At 42.0% G+C, this 19,868-nt stretch overlaps 1 pseudogene across 1 annotated transcript in view, besides 1 other annotated feature; it reads right to left on the bottom strand.

The window, feature by feature from the left end:
• Positions 1-19,868, bottom strand: part of LOC100420587 (SHC binding and spindle associated 1 pseudogene) — a 292,307-nt pseudogene that overhangs the window by 213,432 nt on the left and 59,007 nt on the right. The gene's annotated exons all lie outside the window — the stretch shown is intronic.
• Positions 18,803-19,097: an enhancer, noted in NCBI's record as "tiled region #5210; K562 Activating DNase matched - State 9:DNaseU". NCBI's record gives its function as "activates a minimal TATA promoter and a strong SV40 promoter by Sharpr-MPRA in K562 cells {active_cell/tissue: K562}" and the evidence as "EXISTENCE:reporter gene assay evidence [ECO:0000049][PMID:27701403]".

Genomic DNA, 19,868 nt, shown 5'->3' on the forward strand with positions numbered 1-19,868 from the left:
TAATTGGGCATGCTAGATGCTTTCACTGATCTGCTTTGGTTGTTCTGAGTTCTAAATCCATTTAGTTCTCTAAAATAAACAACTTACTCAAAGAAATCCAAACCTGCTCAGAAAATACCAACATTAGTAATGTCCAGCCACACCACAAGCACTGGTGGGCCACTGTTGGTCCAATTATTAAGAATCTGTCTGTTTTGGGTGCAATAAGCAATAGGCTCACTCAGTACCTATGAGGCACCAATAGTACCTGCTACTGACTAACTGGCCAAAGCCCCCAGAGTGTCATGAGAGGGGAGAAACCATCCAGTCAGTCAATAATCACAGGTTAATGAAAGAACACTCCACCAGCTTGCTATCCCCGAAGACCAGAAAGCTGCTATGCTCTTCAGAACTCTTAACAAAAACGACAATGACAAAAATTGTTTTCCTTGACTCTCACCTTGAGAACAAAAGACTAAACCCAAGTACAATGACACAATAGAGTTTCTTGTATACTGTTTTCATTTCTCAGTGTCACTTCTGTTTTCTGTGACTCTTACTTTGGGAGTAAATAAGTCATTTCCTCCAGGATCCTGAACTGGTCATACATAAAATCTTCCCGGCAGGACAAGCCTCAGGTGGGCAGGGAGTCTGTGAAGTAGGGAGTCTCAATCCCATCTCCTTCAGAGGCCAGTGTGGCTCAAACTTGGGGACCTCACTCATCGAAGGGATATGAGGCGAGGGGTGCGGGTGGGTAGCCTGCGCCAGACCTAAGGGTCCCACTGCCTGTCAGCTCCTGACATGCCTGACTCAGGGTCCAGGAGCCACATCCTCCAGGCTTTAAGCAGACAATGGAAATTCTGATTTTTATGTAAACGCCTGTTTTTGTTCTCTTAGCCACTAATTAGATTTTTTAAACACTATGCAGTCCAAACCAAGAACATCTATGGGCCACCAGTATGCGACACCTGAGCATTTGACCTTGAGTTTGATACTGACTCCAGGCCTTTCTACTCCTGGCAAGTCACCTAAACAGAGGACAGGTCATTATCTGAGGACTTTTGGACTTGAATTCCCTTTTCATCTTTATTTCATGAGTTTCCTCATAAAACTCTGGGGGAGACGCCCCTCTTAAGACTCTGCTGTTGTTTGGAAATCACATCGATTACAACCCACAATCAATTTTCCCCTCTAGTCAACTGCAAAATAGGATTATAGGTCCTATTCCTAGAAAGGGTGCTTAGAAAACCATTAGCAGATGTTCACAACCTGCATTCCCCTACCCCACATTATCCTGGATTCCAACAAAGACAGGGGAGCCAGAGTAGCTCTGAAACCAGGCCTGCTGGAGCGGGAAGTGAATCACTTCCCTTCAGTGGCCCAAAAACCTGGCAAAGAGGAATGATGCCTTGGCCCCAACAGCCACTGCAGAGGCTGGCTCTTACCCCACTGGAAACCTTCGTGTCCCTCCCCTACATGCCTACCCCTCAGTCTGCTGCCCTGCCTCTCCTGCATTTCTCTCTACTCCAAAGGTTCCCGTGCAGAGGGCACGGAGGCAATCCAGACTCCCTCTCTGGCCAGCCCCCCAGGCTTCCAGGGCACTAAGGAGCAAACACAAATCTCCCTCTAAGCTAGAAGGACGGGGCAGGATGGGTCCACCCTGCCCATCCGTACTGGATTCGGTAGAAATGAAGTCCATGCACATGTGCCATCTTCCTTGTAGTAGTCCTCATAAAAGCTCTGAGAGAGGTTTCATGTCCTTTTTACAGAAAAGGAGATGGAGGCTTAGAGAGGTTACTTTAATAAGAGAGAGAGAAGCCTTCTTAGAGAAGGTGAACTTCCAACTAGCATCAGAAGTCCCGGCAAGAACTTGAGGGGCACACTGGGAGAACAGTGAGTTTCCCCAAACTTAGCTTTCCCAAAGCACCCCTACTAGAGCCCACGAAGTCCTCAACACTCTAGCCACATGGGCTACCATGGGAGGCTCTAGGGAGTTTCGGCACAGAGGATAGGCTCCTTACACCACAACCAAAGACTTCAGAGCCGGATGAAAGGCATGATGGGAGAACACGGTCAGCCCCATAGCAGACGGTTGGAGATGACAGCCTGAAAACCAAAACAGCCCACAGGTGCTTAAAGAACACAGGCCCTGCCTAAAAAGAGTCCATTAGCCCTACTGCTCCTGTCCAGGTTACTTCACACACACATGCACATGCAGATGCATGCACACGTGCGTACACGCACGCACACACACATACACATACACACTCACACATATTTCTTGCAGCAGGCAAGAAATAAGGGAGACTTGAATGAAGTGCAGCAGGGGGCCTGGGAGAGATGCCTGCAGGAAATTGCTCAGAGAAGAATGCATGGGATTCAGCAACCCAGAAAGCTGCAGGTAGAGATTGAGGGAAGGCTGTCAGAGGGAGAATTGACTTTTGTTTAATAACAGCACATCCCTACAGAGCTGTTCTTCCTGTGTCATGTTTAGACATCTAGTTTGCCCTTTGTGTGGCTATCTGACCCACAAGCATCTCCATGTTTGGAGCTAGATGAAATGTCAGCGCTGGAAACATTGCTCTGAGAATTTTCTGCATAAGAATTATATTTGAAATTGTATATATAGATGTAATCAGCAAGAAAGAGGGTATAGAGGAGAGGGGGATAAAAGCAATGAATGATGCCAGCAGCAGAAACAGAGACTGAGTCTGGGAATCTCCTACTGAGTACCTTTCCAATAAACTCCTTTCTGCTTGTTAACGAAGGCAAAGCGGTTTGAAAGGAGAGGACCAGAGTAGCGGTGGAGACCTCAAAGCAGAAATCGCTAATAACCACTGCCTTTAGGAGAGCCAAACCCTCACCATTTTTATTCTTCAGTCATTCTGCTCAGGAACAAGCTTTCAGGGAGTTTGGCTGGGTGGCTGCAGTGATCCACAGACATGTCACTCGAAGTGCTTCCTTGGATCACAGGGAAGTGGCCAATGATTGTCCCATTTTACACAAGAAAATTAAATGGTCAGACCCAGATGACTTGGCAAGACCAGGGCTAACAAATCTGGGTCCCAGGTTCCACTGCTGAGAAGCAGGTCAAGGGCAGTGCGTGCTTCCTGGCCTGGGCCCTTGGGACACTGCCATAGGCTGCAGAATGGTTTTGTGTTACAGGGCTGGAAGTGCTATGATTTTTTTCTAAAAAAACAACATTACATAACTTCGCATGCTGTGAAAACATTCATTTATTTTACATCTTCATTTCACATTGTTGCAATTTAATTTTATTGTTACTGATATCCTTCTATACATTAATCTAATACTTCATTTGGTCCAAGAAGTCAGACACTGTGAATTATGCCCATCACCCAAAATTTTATCCAATTTAACAACCTTGATATGATTTAGAATATCTTTAAGATAATAATAATAAGAGATAAAAATGTTTGGAAAAACCCCAAGAAAAAAGATGCCAGGGTATGTTTGATAGCCTAAGTTTGCATCACCTATCTACCTCTTGGCCAGAAGAGAAAAGAAAACCTTCAGTGACCATCCTCCCAACACCGTATCCAATGAGAGAGGAAAGATATTTCCTCTTAGTAAAGTCAGGGTGCTTTACCACGTGACCTTAACCACTCATACAGAGACAGCTACACTGATTTTGGGGCCAGGGTATTATGTGTGAGCTTACCTGTGACTACTTATTCAAGAAAGCATTCTCAGCAGAACCCAGACTGCCTTCTCCTTCCCATCTTCTCAAATCCACATAGAGACAAGGGAAGGTCAAGTGTAGAGCAAACGCTTAGGGGATGTGTTGGGTGGGGCCATGCTCAAAGTTCAGTGCAACGCACAAAGAACTCATTAGTGATTGCCAAGTGAACAAGCAACAACCAACCATGAACTCAAAATACTCTTGGAAAGCTTAAAAATATACCCCCCTTGGGGATGAGGGATTCCAAAAACTCTTGGGAGGCAGGAATCCTGCTGGCACCCCCAATGCGCTACAGCCATGGCCCACTGTAATAAAAGATGGTCCCTACCGTGCATCTGCACTGCCTAAAAGCACCTGGGAGAGGAACTTTCCACCTTTGACAAAAGTAGGTAGGCTTAATGAGTTAATGTTTTCAAATGTTTTCTGAGCTCTTTGATGGGAGCAGCTGTGCCACTACAAAGCAGCCTTTCATCTCCAGGACAGAAATAGTCTCTCTCTTTCTACCCCCTCTATCCAGCTAAGCCTAACCAACCTCAGCAAAGCCACCCTCTCCAAGACAAAAGGAAAGGGAACAGCTCACGCAGAATGTAGGCTCTGATCCTGTCTTCCTTTGCCTAATGCACCCTGGCTAATTTTTCCCTAATGGTATCATCAGTGGCACATGCGGCCCTGCTGCAATGCTCTGTGCCATCTGAACAACAGGAGAAACCCTTCTGCTGGAAAGTGAATGCAAACAGATTCTAATCAATAGGAAGAGCTCAATTAGAGCAAGTTCAGCACACTTCAAAGGTGTTGCTACTTTCTCGCTGGCTTATCCCACACAGCCCTTTTGAGGGGCTCGACCTTGGGAGCTGGCTGGCAACAAGAGCTGCTCCAGACAACTCTGTAACTGGACCAGCAAACTTCCCACCATACTGGATGTCTTCTACAAGCCAGAAGAGGGGGAAAACTCCTTATTTCAGTTCAGAGCCACATTTCTCCTCCTGCACACCCCAGCACCTCCCTCAGGACACTGAGGGCAACTTAGTGAAGACCTGTGCCTTGGCCACTGGTCTGAAAGGCCCTGGGTATAGCAGTGCACAGATCATCACAACCACCTGCAGAAAGTCAGCTGCTTCTTCAATCTGCAAGGAAAAGACTCCTTCCCAAGAGACCTCTGGTAATGAGGTGTTAAGAGTATAAGAGCTGGGGAAGTGAGGCAGAACAGGAAACATGGCCCAAATGCCAGGCACTGTTTTCTGGGTTCAGATCTTGGCACTAACTACCTATCAGCTGTGGAATCTTGCAAAGGTTACTTAACAATCCTGCAGCTAGGTGCTATTGTCATCTCTGGTTTATAAAGGAAACAAAGGCCGAGGTGGGCGGATCACTTGAGGTCAGGAGTATAAGACCTGGCCAACAGAGTGAAACTCCATCTCTACTAAGAATACAAAAAAATCAGCTGGGTGTATTGCTGCACACCTGTAATCCTAGGTACTCGGGAGGCTGAGGTGGGAGGATTGCATGAACTCAGGAGGCAGAAATTACAGTGAGCCGAGATCATAACACTGCACTCCAGCCCAGGTGACAGCGAGAAGACTGTCTTCAAAAAAAAAAAAAGGACAAAAATCCTCTCAATATCTCAAAGCCTTAGGAAGAAAGAAAACTATTTAGCACAGTGCCAGGTGTACAGTAAGTGTTTGATAAATGCTGGCTAATGATATGCCTTCTGCTGCTGTTAGTAATACCGATGTGTTGGAAAATGTTGAGAGGAACTCTGAAAAAGAGCTAGCGGCCAGAATTTTCAGGAAAAGCTGCCTACATCCTCCTCTTTGAGTTTCATAAGGCACATTTCTGTGGTACTTTCTCAGGACTTTTATTGTGTTGAAGACAAGTTTGAGAAACACTGACTTAAATAAATTTATATATTTTTGCTACAAAGAATATCTGCAGATAGATCAAGATGGCCAACTAGAGGAATCTACCACTCATCTCCTTCACAAAAATGACAAAAACAACATAAATAACTGCATTTTGAGTAGAGTACCTAAAGGAAAACACTGGAAGTGACAAAAACCCTCTGAAGCACGAAAATCTGGAAAGCCAGCATAGGGAGGGAAGCGAAACACCTGACCAGGATCTGCTCAGGGCCAAGGGAAAGGTAAGCAGGGGATCCCCCATGGTCTCCATAGTTACTGAGGCTGCCTGCAATCCCAGCTACAGGCTAGCCCCGCAGTCCCCATAGGCCCTGAGCCCAGTGGAGGAAACTACCTGGAGTCCACAAGGTCACATTGCTCCAGAGAAGGGACACATGTTCTCCACAGTGGGACGGAGCCACTGGGGGAGCGTATTCTGCCCTGGAGGCCATTAGCCCCTATATATACATCTCCATGTCGCTGGGTCCCTGCCGTCATTCCACTGTGCCCACAAAAAAGGCTGAGTGCTGTGATCCCAGCTAGACTTGACGGTGCAGTCATCATCCCTGCCCCCGAGCCCATGCAGTGCTCTACAATCCAGGGAGCAGGCATAGCACAGAGGGGAGGATGCCCCAGAACTAGGGGAGCCAGTGTACATGCTGAGCAGAGACCTAGAGCTGACCACCTCACATCTGCCGCCACCAACAACCCCTCCAGGGGCGGAGGTGCTGCACATGTGTGCACATCCTCCGGGAACTAAAGTGCAGCCAGTCCAGTGATTGCCATCACAGAAAGCCATACCTCCTCCAGAGGTGGAGCTGTGCATGCCATGTGTCCACAAGGAGCGGCCCACCTGGTGCCCACCAATGCGAGTAACCCCACCCACTCCAGGGCCAGAGCCACCAAATGCCATGCACATCCCCCAGAAACTAAGGAGTGACCTGTTCAGCAGTGCCAGCAGCCCCACCCCCAAAACCAGTGGAGCCACTGTGCCAGGCACATCCCCCCAGGGCCTGAGAACCACCTTGTCCTGCAACCCCCCTCAATCACAAACAATGCTGCACCACTGCCTTTACAAACACCCGCAATTTAAGATTCTGAGGAAATCTCAGACACTGCTGGCATTAATTACAGTCAAAGAAATCAGACAGGGACTACACTATGATGCCCATCTAGAACAAAAGCCAAAGCACCCTACCCAACAGACACCATAGGAAACATCTATAGGAAAAGGTATTTCTCCACAAAAGTAACTCCATATATTTGGAAGGCAAGACTATACTCCACCAGATGTGCAGATATCAACGTAGGAATGAAAGAAACATGAAAAAACAAGTAAACATAACACATCCAAAGAGCACAACTCTCCAGTAACAGACCCCATAGAAAAAGAAACCTATAAAATGCCTGAAAAGGGATTAAAATAATATCAAGGAAACTCAGTGAGATATAAGAGAACACAAAATCAGAAAAACAATTTACAATCCAAATAAAACATTCAACAAAAAGATATAAAACAGAACCAAGCAGAAATCCTGGAGCTAAATAACTAAATGAATGAGATAATCAAGAGCTTCAAAAATAGACTGAGCAAAAGAAAAAAAATTTCTGAACTTGAAGACGAGTATTCTGAAATAACCTAGTCAGACCAAAGAATAAAAAGGGTGGGAAGGGAATTAAAAGAATGAAGACAGTGAAGAAAGCCTACATGACATATGGGACACCATCAACTGAATAAATATTCAAAATTTAGGAGTTCCAGAAGTAAAAGAGATTTTAAAAAGCTATTCAATAAAATAATAGCTAAACTTTTTTTTTGTTCCCGCAAGATGGTAGATTGGAGGCTTTTAACACGCCTCAGCCACTTGGAAATAGCAAAATAGTGAGTAAAGATCAACTCTGAAGAGTTTTAATTCAAGAAGGAAAATGTGAATTCACCAGAATAGTGAAGGATACCCCAAATCCCATTGAGAAAAAGGTAGGCAAGCAGCCCTTGTGATAGTGTTTGGCTGATAAACATGAGTGAAGCCCCTGTACATAAAAAGGGCAAAGAGTTTTCCTCTATGACTCACCTTTCCACTTGGGATCTGTGCAACCCATGCCAAGAAAGGGGACCCTGATTCTCCCAAACCCTGGAACTACCAGGAGGAGAGGCTGGGAGACACTGAGAGGGAAAGATATTGGAAAATGCTGCATGCATTTTCCCAACCTTGGACCACGGGGAAGATGTCATTTTTAATCCACACTAATACAAAGTCAGTCATTGTTTGGTGACCTAACAATGCAGCCACGCAGGCATTTTAGTCTCAGACTAGAGACTGGAGCACTTGCTTTGGAGTGGAGTAGAAGCCTCCCAGCTGCAATGGAGCAGCTAGTGTGGAAAATGCCCCAGCAGTAGGCACTGGAATTGGGCAATCTCCCACCACAGGACTAGAGTGGGAAGAGGGTTGCTGAAACTGTGGTTTCCTCTGAGAGGTGAGACTTGCAGCCAAGAGCAGCTTTGTGACCTGGAACTGGTCTGTGTGTCATTGCTTGGAGTCCCAGCATTCTCCCCCGAGACCATGGTGTAGCAGGGCCCTCTATGCTCTATGCCCAGGCAGATATCCAGGCATTTGAAGCACCCACTTCCCTACATTAGCAGCCTAAGCTGCCTCACGCTTGCTAAGCAGAGAATTTGGTACAGTGGGGCTCTGCTTCACACCCAGGCAGATTTCCAGGCTTAAGGAGTACCCATCTGCCTGGATTAGCAGTCTGAGCTACTTCATCCTTTCTATGCAGAGACCATGGTGGAGCAGGGTCAACTCCACTCCTTGCCCAGGTAGATCTCCAGGCATATGGAGCATCCACTTGGCTGGATCAGCAGCCTGAGCCACCTCAACCTTCTTCTGCAGAGACCATGGTGCAGCAAGGCTGTCTCTGCTCCACAGTCAGAGATCTCCAGGCACTCAGAGAACCCACTCACCTGATTTGCTTCTTGAGCTGCCTACCCCAGTTTCCTACAAAGACCTTATTGCACAACCAATTACTCCACTCCTCACCAGTAGATATATTTCCAGGCAATCAAATACCCACTCACCTAGATTAGTAGCCTGAGCTGTCTCTCCCTCCCACTGCAAAGACCTTGTTGCAGCGACAGTTTTTCCAGGGCGAACTCCCAAGTATGCAGCATGCTTGCTCCCCTGGATAAGAGCCTGAGCCACCCCTCTCTTCCCATGCTGAGATCTTGGCGCAGCAGCACATTCTCTTCCCCATGACGGGACATATCACCAGGCCTTCAGTGCACCTGCCCCCCGGAATAGAAGTATGAACTGTTATACTCTTACCACACAAAGAACTTAGTACAGCATCACTCCCTTCACTTCACATTCAGATATAACTCCAGGCATTTGTCACACCTGCTCCCATGGATAAGGAGTTTCAGCCACCCTTTGTCTCATGTAAAGACTTTGTAGTGGCAGCAGTCTCTCTGCTCCTTCCCCAGGCATATCATCTCACACGGGGCATACCTGCTCTTCCAGAGTAGGAGCTTGACCCACTCCTCCCATCCCCTGCAAAGACCTTGTTTGAACAGCAGTTTCTCCACTCCCTCCCAGAGCATGTGGCACATCTGCCTGCCTTAATGAGAAGCCTGAGCTGCCCTTCCCTTCAGGTGAAGAGACCTTAGTACAATGGCACTCTCTCAGCTTGATGTTCAGACATACTTCCAGGCATTTGGAGCACCCATTCTTCTAGATTAGGAGTTTAGGGCATTCCCCTCTCCCTTCCAGAAACTTGGGGCGGGGAAGGTTTTCCAATTCCACATCTAGACACATCTCTGAGTCCTTGGCAGCTTCCACTGCAAAAGCTGGTGCTTGTAACTGCCATTAGGTCTGCCTAGTTTGGCCCTGCCCATCTTGGTGCCCCTACCTAGGACTGAGCAGGGAACTCAGATCATTGTGCATTCCAAAGATCAGCCCCTTGCTTGAGGCAAGAGAGAGCTTCCTCCACTAAACAAGGATCAAGTATATTCCTGTCAAGTTTGGATGCAGCCAGCTGTTACCCATAAGCACCACCTACTGGCCCGGAGGTTGAAAGATAAAACATAACAAGAAATCTGAAACAGGTGCACAGTACTGGGGAACAAGATAAGCTTCCTAAGACCTCTACTACCCTGGCCAGAGAAGGAGGCAATGAGCCTGCTCATATGCCCAAAATATAGTTACTGCAACCAGCATTTAGCAAAGTTGCCAAATAAAAGCTATCTAAAACCAAGGAACTTAAAATAGACTATTTGGTACTGAAGACACCTGGAACCAAAGCCATAGGACCCTACATAACAACATATATTATGGATACCTTCCTCAGGGGTAGAAAAAAGATGCCATCCAAACAAAAGCAAACTCAAGAAAGGAAAGATAGTTTATCCACATGAGAAAAAACCAGAGAAACAATTCTAAAAGTATGAAATAAAAAAGTATTACAACACCCACAGAGTGAAACACTAACTCTCCAGCAACAGATCCTAACCAAGATAAAATCTAAATACCAGGTAAACAATTCAAATAATTTATTTTATTTTGTACTTTTTTGAGATGGAGTCTCGCTCTGTTGCCCAGGCTGGAGTGCAGTGGCACAATCTTAACTCACTGCAATCTCCACCTCCCGGGTTAAAGAGATTCTCTTGCCTCAGCCTCCTAAATAGCTGAGACTACATGCGCACACCACCACGCCTGGCTAATTATTGTATTTTTAGTAGAGACGAGGTTTCACCATGTTGACCAGGCTGGTCTTGAACTCCTGACCTCAAGTGATCCACCTGCCTCAGCCTCCCAAAGTGCTGGGGTTACAGGCATTAGCCACTGTGCCTGGCCTCAGATTATTGATTTTAAAGAAGCTCAGTGAAATCCAAGAGAAAGCTGAAAACCAACAGAAAAGAAATCAGATTAGCAAGTCAAGACATAAAAGAAGAGATAGGCTTCATTAAGGAAACAGAACTCCTGGAAATAAAAAATTCACTGTAGCAGTTATAATATACAGTTGAAAGCTTTAACAATAGGCTAGAACAAGTAGAAGAAATAATTTCAGAGCTGTATGATAGGTCTTTCAAATTGACCCACACAGATGAAAGAAAGAAAGGAAAGAAAATAATTTAAACAAATCAACAAAGCCTTCAAGAAATATGTTATGTAAACCAGCCAAACCTACGAGTTGTAGGTATTACAGAGGAAGAAGGAAAAAAAGTTAAAAGTATAAAAAATATATTTGAAGAAATAATTCAAGAAAACTTCTCTGGTTTTGTGAGAGATTAAGCCATCCAGGTAAAAGAAGATCAGAAAACTCCTGGAAAACACATTGCAAGAAGAAATACACTAAGACATAAAGTCATAAGACTATCCAAAGGCAATGTGAAGGAAAAAATTCTAAGAGTAGTAAAAGAGAAAGGTCTAATCAGCTATAAAGGAAATGCCATCAGATTAAAAGCAGACTATTCAGCAGAAACTTTACAAGCCAAAAAAATTGGTGGCCTTTTAGCCTCCTTAAAAAAAAATGGGCCAGGTGCAGTGGCTCACACCTGTAATCCCAGCACTTTTGGAAGCCGAGGCGGGTGGATCACGAGGTCAGGAGATCGAGACCATCCTGGCTAACACGGTGAAAACCCATCCCTACTAAAAATACAAAAAATTAGCCAGACATGGTGGCGGGCACCTGTAGTCCCAGCTACTTGGGAAGCTGAGGCAGGAGAATGGCATGAACCTGGGAGGTGGAGCTTGGAGTGAGCTGAGATCGTGCCACTGCACTCCAGCCTGGGCAACAGAATGAGACTCCAACTCAAAAAAAAAAAAAAATGCCAGCCAAGAATCTTATATCCTGCCAAGCTAACCTTCACAGATGAAGAAATAAAGTATTTCCCAAACAAACACGGAGGAAATTTGTAAAAATTAAAATGGCCTTGCAAGAAATACTCAAAAAGTTCTAGACATGAAAATAAAAGGATACTTGCTATCATAAAAGGCCATATAAGTAAAAATCTCACAGATTCTCTAAAGCAATTATACAATTTAAACCCCAGGGGCAACTAGGCAACAACACTATGACAGAAACAAAACTTCATATATTAATATTAACCTTGATTGTAAACGGCCCAAGTGCTCAACTTAAAAGATACGGAGTGGGAAACTGGATTAAAAAAACAAGATCCAACCACCTGCAGCCTATAAGAGACAACACCTCTGGGCTAAAGACAGCTACAGACTCAAAGTAAATGGGTGAACAAAGATATATCATGCAAAAGGAAAACAAAAGAAAGCAAGATTAGCCATCCTCATATCAAATAAAAGGACCTTAAACAAACAACAGTTATAAAAAAGACAAATAAGAGCATTATATAATAATAAAGAGCTTAATGCAACAAAAAGATACAACTATCCAAAATACACGTTGATATGACTTGGCTGTGTGCTCACCCAAATCTCATCTTGAATTGTGTAGCTCCCATAACTCCCACATGTTGTGGGAGGGACCCATTGGGAGAAAACTGAATCATGGGGGTGGTTCCCCCATACTGTTCTTGTGGTAGTGGATAAGTCTCACAAGATCTGATGGTTTTATAATGGAAAACCCCTTTCGTTTGGTTCTCATTTTCTCTCTTGCCTGCTGCCGTATAAAACAGGCCTTTTGCCTTCCACCATGATTGTGAGGCCTCCCCAGCAATGTGAAACTGTGAGTCCATTAAAACTCTTTTTCTTCATAAATCACCCAGTCTCGGGTATGTCTTTATCAGCTGTGTGAAAATGGACTAACACACACATGCATCCAACATTGGAGCACCTGGATTCATAAAACAAATACTACTACACCTAAGAAAACAGATTGATAGAAATATAATAATAGTGGGGGACTTCAACACCCCACTGACATGACAAGACAGATCACTGAGGCAGAAAATCAACAAAGAAGCTCTGGACTTAAATTGGACTATATAGACTAAATGAACCTAATTGTCACTTACAGAACATTATATCCAATGATCGCAGAATATCCATTCTTCTCAATTCTGCATGAATGTTCCAAAACTGACCATGTGCCTGACCACAAAGCAAGTCTCAATAAATTTTAAAAACCTAAAAATCATATCAAGCATCTTCTCAGACCACAGACAAATAAAATTAGGAATCAATACCAAGAGAAATGCTCAATACTACACAAGTACACATAAGCTAAACAACTTGCTCCTGAATAACCTTTGGGTAAACAACAAACTTATGGCAGAAATTGAAATCTTTTTCAAAACAAATGAAAATAGATACAATGCACCAAAACCTAGGGCACAGCAAAAGCAGTGCTAACTGGAAAGTTTATAATGTTAAACACCTACATCAAAAAAAAAAAATAGAAAGATGAAAATTAATAACCTAACGTGGACCCTCAAGGAACTAGAAAAACAAGAACAATCCAAACCAAAATCTATCAAGAGAAAAGAAAGATCAAGCAGAACTAAATGAGATTGAGATCAATAAAATAATTTATACAATGAACATTCCAACTGATAATACACAAAAGAGCATCAGAGACTAGTATGAACACCTCTACACACATAAAATAGAAAACCTACAGGAAATGGATAGATTCTGGGAAATATACAACCTCCCAAGATACAACCAAAAAGAAATAAAATCCTGATCTGACAATTAATGAGTAATAAAGCTGAATCATTACTTCCAACAACAATAACAAAAAGGCCCAAACCAGACATATTCAAAGCAAATTTTACCAGATATATAAAGGAGATCTGTTACTAATCTTATTGGAACTATTCCAAAGTATTGAAAAGGAAAGATCCCTCCCTAACTACTTCTATGAATCCAGTAACACTCTGATACCAAAATTAGGCAAGAACACAACAACAACAATAAACACGACAGGTTAATATCCCTGATGAACATAAATGCAAAAATCCTCAACAAAAATACTAGCAAACAAATCCAACAGCACATCAAAAAGATAATTCATAATGATCACGTGAATTTTATTCCAGAGATACAAGGATGGTTCAACAACTGCAAATCAGTAAGTGTGATTCTTTACATAAACAGGACTAAAAACAAACACCATATGAAAATCTCGATAGATGGAGAAAAGGCATTCAATAAAATTCAAAATCCCTTCTAAATAATAAATCCTCAACAAATTACACATCAAAGGAACATATCTCAAAATAATGAGAACCTTCTGTGAAAAATCCACAGCCAACTTTATACTGAATGGAGAGAGGCTGAAAACATTCCCTACTAGAACTGAAGGAAGACAGGATGTCCACTCTCACCACTCCTATTCAAGGCGGTACTGGAAGTCATAGCCAGAGCAGTCAAGGCGTAAAAAAAATGAATAAAATACAAATTAGAAAAGAGGAAGTCAAATTATCTCAGTCCCTTAATGATATGATCATATACCTAAAAAAACATAAAAACTCCTCTATTAGTTTGGCAGATTTGAGAAGTGAAGCTATCAGGTCCTGGGCTTTTCTTTGCTGGGAAACTTTTTTTGTACCCTGAGGTGCATCACTGGATTATTTGAAAACTTTCTACTGTTTTGATGTATGTGTTAATTGCTATAAAATTCCTTCCTACTGCTACTTTTACTGCATCCTATAGGTTTTGGTATGTTGAGTTTCTATTTTCATTTGTTTCCAAATTTTTTTTGATTTCCTTAATTTCTTCATTGACCCAGTGATTGTCCAAGAGCATGTTGTTTAATTTCCATGCATTTGTACACTTTCCAAAATACCTTTTGTTATTAATGTCTTTTGTATTCCATTGTGGCCTGAGAATAGACTTGATATGATTTTGATGTTTTAAAATTTGTTGAAACTTGTATTGTGGCCTAACATGTGGCCTATCTTGGAGAATTTTCCATGTGCTGATGAGAAAAATGTGTATTCTGTAGCTGTTGGATAAAATATTCTGTAAATGTCTGTTAGGTCCATTTGGCCTAAAGTAGAATTAAAATTCAATGTCTATTGATGGCCTGTCTAGAGGTCTGTCCAACGGTGACAGTAGGGTGTTGCAGTCTCTAGCTATTATTGTATTAGAGCCTAACTTCTTTTTTAAACCTGTTAATATTTGTTTTATATATCTGGGTGCCCTGGTGTTGACTGCATATATCTTCTTGGTGAAATGACTCCTTTATCATTATATAATCATCTTCTTTGTCTCTTTACAGTTTCTGACTTAAAGTCCATTTTATCTGATGTAAGTATAGCTACTTCTGCTTTGTTTTGGTTTCTGTTTGCATATTTATTTCTATCCCTTCAATTCAATCTATGTGTGTCATTAAAGGTGAAGTGACTTTCCTGTAGGCAACATGTAGTTGGGTCCTGTTATTTCCTTTTTTAAATCCTTTCAGCCAGTCTGTACCTTTTAATTGGAAAATTTAATCTGTTTGAAGTCAAGGTTATTATTTATAGGTGAGGACTGACCTCTTTCATTTTGTTAATTATTTTCTGGTTGTTTTGTGTATTTTTTGTTCCTTTCTTCCTTTCATTTTATTCTGATAAAAGATTTTTTTTAACTACAGATGCAATTCCATGACTTGTTAATGGTCTGATCAGGATTTCTATTTCTTCCTGGTTCAATCTTGGGGGGCTGCATGTGTCCTAGAATTTATCTATTTCCTCTGGGTTTTCTAGTTTGTGTGTATAGAGGTATTCATATTAGTTTCTGATGTTCTTTTGTATTTCTGTATTATCAGTTGTGATGGCCCCTTTATCATTTCTGATTGTAGTTGGAATCTTTTCTCATTTTTTGTTGATTAACCTGCCTAGTGGTCTGTCAATTTTGCTTACCCTTTCAAAAACCAACTTTTTGTTTCATTGCTTCATTGCATAATAGTTATTTTTTCATCTTAATCTCATTTAGTTCTGCTTGATCTCTTTGCTTTCTTTTCTTTTGCTAGATTTGAGTTTGAATTGTTCTTGTTTTTCTAGTTTCTTAAAAATTTTGAAACTTTGATCAAAGAAACTGAAGAGTTCACAAACACATACAAAAAATAGAAAAAATATCCCATGTTCATGGATTGTAAGAATGCTGTTAAAATAACTACACTACCCCAAAAGATACAAAGATTCAATGTAATTCCAATTGAAATACCAACAACATTCTTCACAGAAATAGAAAAAGCAATCCTAACATCCACATAGGGTTGCAAAAGATCCCAAACAACTAAAGCAATCTTAATCAAACAAAAACAAAAACAAACAAAAAACAAAGTTGGAGGCATCATACTACTGGACTACAAAATGTACTACAAAATGTTAGTACATACTGTACTAACCAAAACAGCATAGTACTTGCATAAAAACAGACACATACACAAACGGAACAGAATAGAGAACCCAGAAATAAATCCATTTATTTACAGCTATCTGATTTTCAACAAAGGCACCAAGAACATTTAGTGGGGAAGGAACAGTATCTTCAATAAATGGCACTGGGATTATCCATACCCAGAAAAATGAAACTAGACTACTATCTCTCACCATATACAAAATTAACTCAAAATGAATTAATGACCTAAATGTAAGAACTGAAACTAAAAAACTACTACAAGAAAACATAAGAGAAATACTTCAGGCTAATATCTGTAGAAATAAAACCTCAAAAGCAGAGGCAACAAAAGCAAAGATAAATGGGATTACATAAAAGTAAAAAGCTCTGCACGGCAAAGGAAACAATCAACGGAGTGAAGAAACAACCTATAGTATAATAGAAAATGTTTGCAAACTATTTATCCAACAAGGGATTAATATGTAGAATATACACAAGGAACTCAAACTACTCAACAGCAAAAAAAAAAATAATAAAAATAATCAAAGTAGCAATACAAATGGACAACTATATGAAAAAATGTACAACATCATAATAAGAGAAATGCAAATCAAAACCACAATGAGATATCATCTCACTCCAGTTAGAATAGTGATTATCAGAAAGACAAAAAAAAAAGCAGTTGCTGGTGAGGATGTGGAGAAAAGAACTTTTACACACTTTTGGTGGGAATGTGAATTAGCCATCATAAAAACAGTATGGAAGTTGCTCAAAGAACTAAAAATAGAACTACCATATGATCCAGCAATCCCACTACTGGTCTCAGTCATATGTAGAAGCTAAACAAATTGATCTCCCAGAAGTAGAGAATAGAATAGTGGCAACTAGCAGCTAGGAAGGGAGGAGAGATAGAGAGAAGGTAGTTAAAGGACACAAAAATTATAGCTTGATAGGAGTAAGTTCTAGGGTTCTACAGCATTGTAGGCTGACCATAATTAACAATAATTTACTCTATATTTTCCAATAGCTAGAAGGGAGGACTCTGAATGTCCCCATAATGAAATTATAATGGTTTGATGTGACAGATATGCTAATTACCCTGATTTGATCATTATAACTTACATACAGGTATTAAAATATCACAATATAAGCCATAAATATATACAGATATTATGTGTCAATTTTAAAAGAATACCTGTAAACATCAAGATATATGAATGTTATGAAGATCAAACTGAGAACTGCAAAATCAGCATATTCTCCACTCAGTCTCTTCTTCTCCCAAATAATAACATACATACCTGACAGACATACAAGACCTTGTGCAACATGTGAGCAGGAACGGGCAGGTAGCAGGCTGAGGTGTCTGCCCAGCTCAGTATTTGGATATTAACCTCCACTGTATTTCACTTTTTCCTTCCTCTAGACTGGATCATTCCAGGCTAGAGAACATTGTTAATTTATCTTCTATTTGCTTTTGAACTGAGTACATTTCAGGGTTTAGTTTTGTTTTTGTTTTATCTATATCTAGCTACATATTTCATCTCTTTAAAAAATAAAAAGAAAATTGAGCTGAGACAATTGGGTTGTTAACTCTATCAAAAAACTTTGCAGCCTTAAAAAAAAAATAAATTGGATCAGTCCATTCACTGTCCTAGTATCTGTAGCCCCAATTTAAAGCCTTCCTTTTTAATTACAAAAATCTAAATTGAGAAAATGCTTCTCCCCAGGAAGATTTTAATATACGGGAACAGGGCACAGTCACCCTAATACAAAGCCCTAAGCAGCATAGGTGGGCCCCAGGACCCCTATGAAATATTTCTTGCACTGTTTCTCGTGCGCAAAAAGTCCCCAGAGATGGCCAGCAAGACTCTGCAACTTTCAATTCATTATTCCATACCTGTCCTTCTAAACCTCTATGCTGGGACCAAAGTCCTACTCTACCTTACCTTACCAGGGATTGTAGGGTTTTCTTATGGTCAAAACAAAACAACAACAACAACAACAAAAACCACACACACACACACACAAAGAAAAACCCTTAGAAGCTTAGGTCCATATCCTATAAAAAGAATGTCACAGTTGCACTTTCAATCCCTATGTCTTGACCATCTGAGCTTTCACCCATAGCAGAAACTCAGACTTCTGCCCACATGTGACCTCCCTGAGGATAAGCTGGACTTGTAACAGATAGAGGTATGGTAAAGAGGCAGTCGCAATTAGCCCTTCCATTTTGTCCCCATAAGGAGGTAGGGACACAGTGCTTTAGTTCCTTCCCAGACTCCAAGATGCCCTCCTACAGCCAGATCTCACTCAAGTGCAAGGCAGTAAAAATGTTAGGAGTTCAGGCTGTAGAGTCAGCCTGCTCTGGGTTTGACTTCCAGTTGCATGATCCAAAGAAGGTGGCCTAACATCTCTGAGACTCATTGGCCCAGTTTAACAGATGAAGAAGCTAATAGTCGTCTCACAAGCCATAGTTTGGAGAGAGAGAGAGAGAGAGAACATAAATGAAGCTCTCAGCTTCTGGAACATAATTAATGCCAGCCAACATTAAGAACTTATCATGATAATTAGTAACTAATTAATGGGGAACGAATGCTCACAAAAAGGAGGGAAATAAAAAGCACAGAATCAATCAACAGGGAAATAGTTAAATGAACTTTGTTGCTTTCGGGTTTAGGAAGCACTGGCACACACATTGCCTCATTTTATTATGGTGAACATGTAAAAGAGGCAGGTACCATTATTCCCACTCCACATGTTGGAAGTAAAGCTCAGAGTTGCAAAGAAAACGAGTACTTAAACAAAGGATTTCTCAGCAAGGCAAAATTTACTTCTGCAGAAGGGTGCTGCTTGCATGTCTGGTCACCACAAGAGCACACCGAACAAAGTGGGGAAGGGGCTTTTATCCCTAATGCAGTTTGTCCCTGCTACTGTGTCCTGTATCCATTAGCTGGAGTTGGACTGCACAATTTAAGCTGAACCCCACTGGCTAACTTGAGAGGTGCAGGAACGTGGTTATACCAATGGGAAGGGCAGTTTTGGCAGGAAGAGCTGTTGCGACAGGAGGGGTAATTCGCAGAATGGGTTAGCATATGTGGTCTTTGCAGATAAGGACTGGCGGGAAAGTTGTTTACTGAAACTAAGACAGGGAGGCATAAGGGATAAGGAAGTTGGTTTGGGCTTGAAGTAGGGAACAAAGAACAAGGGCACTGAACAAGCTAAACCTTTGAAGAGGAACTTCTTTTGTATCTGACACACAGACTAGAAAAAGTGTCCTAGACTGGGCATGGTGGCTCATGCCTGTAATCCTAGCACTTTGGGAGGCTGAGGCAGGTGGATCACCTGAGGTCAGGAGATCGAGACCAGCCTGGCCAACATGGTGAAACCCCATCTCTACTAAAAATACAAAAAATTATCTGGGCGTGGTGGTGGGCACCTGCAATCCCAGCTACTTGGGAGGCTGAGGCAGGAGAATCACTTGAACCCAGGAGGCAGAGGTTGCAGTGAGCCGAGATCACACCATTGTACTCCAGCCTGGGTAATAAGAGTGAAACTCTGCCTCAAAAAAAAAAAAAAGTTCTAAAAATGTGGGTGGGTTTGCCAGAGGCCATATGACCAGGAGGTAGAGAATCCAGGACTTGAATCCAGATATTCTGTCCCTAAATCCACTAAGCTAAGTTGTTTCCCACGGAAAACTGAACTCCTTTTTTATAACCTTCTAAGAGGGCTAGCTTTTTAAGCAACCAGTTCTGAAAGCATGTTCGCTAATGAAGAGCCCTCGGGAAATGCCAAGGAAACCTTTGCATGGGTGACCCTTATCTTGCCTCCGTGTCCTGGCCACCAGAACTCTGCTGTTCTTCATTATTTTACGTTGAAACAAGATATGCCCCCAAATTTCCTGACACCTTTTCCATCCACCCTACTATATTTAAAACCACCAGCTCTGTGCAGGGGATGGGAACTCTGGAACAAGTTCATGGGACTACT

The sequence above is a fragment of the Homo sapiens genome, chromosome 19, assembly GCF_000001405.40.
Source record: "Homo sapiens chromosome 19, GRCh38.p14 Primary Assembly".
NCBI classification, from domain to species: Eukaryota; Metazoa; Chordata; class Mammalia; order Primates; family Hominidae; genus Homo; species Homo sapiens.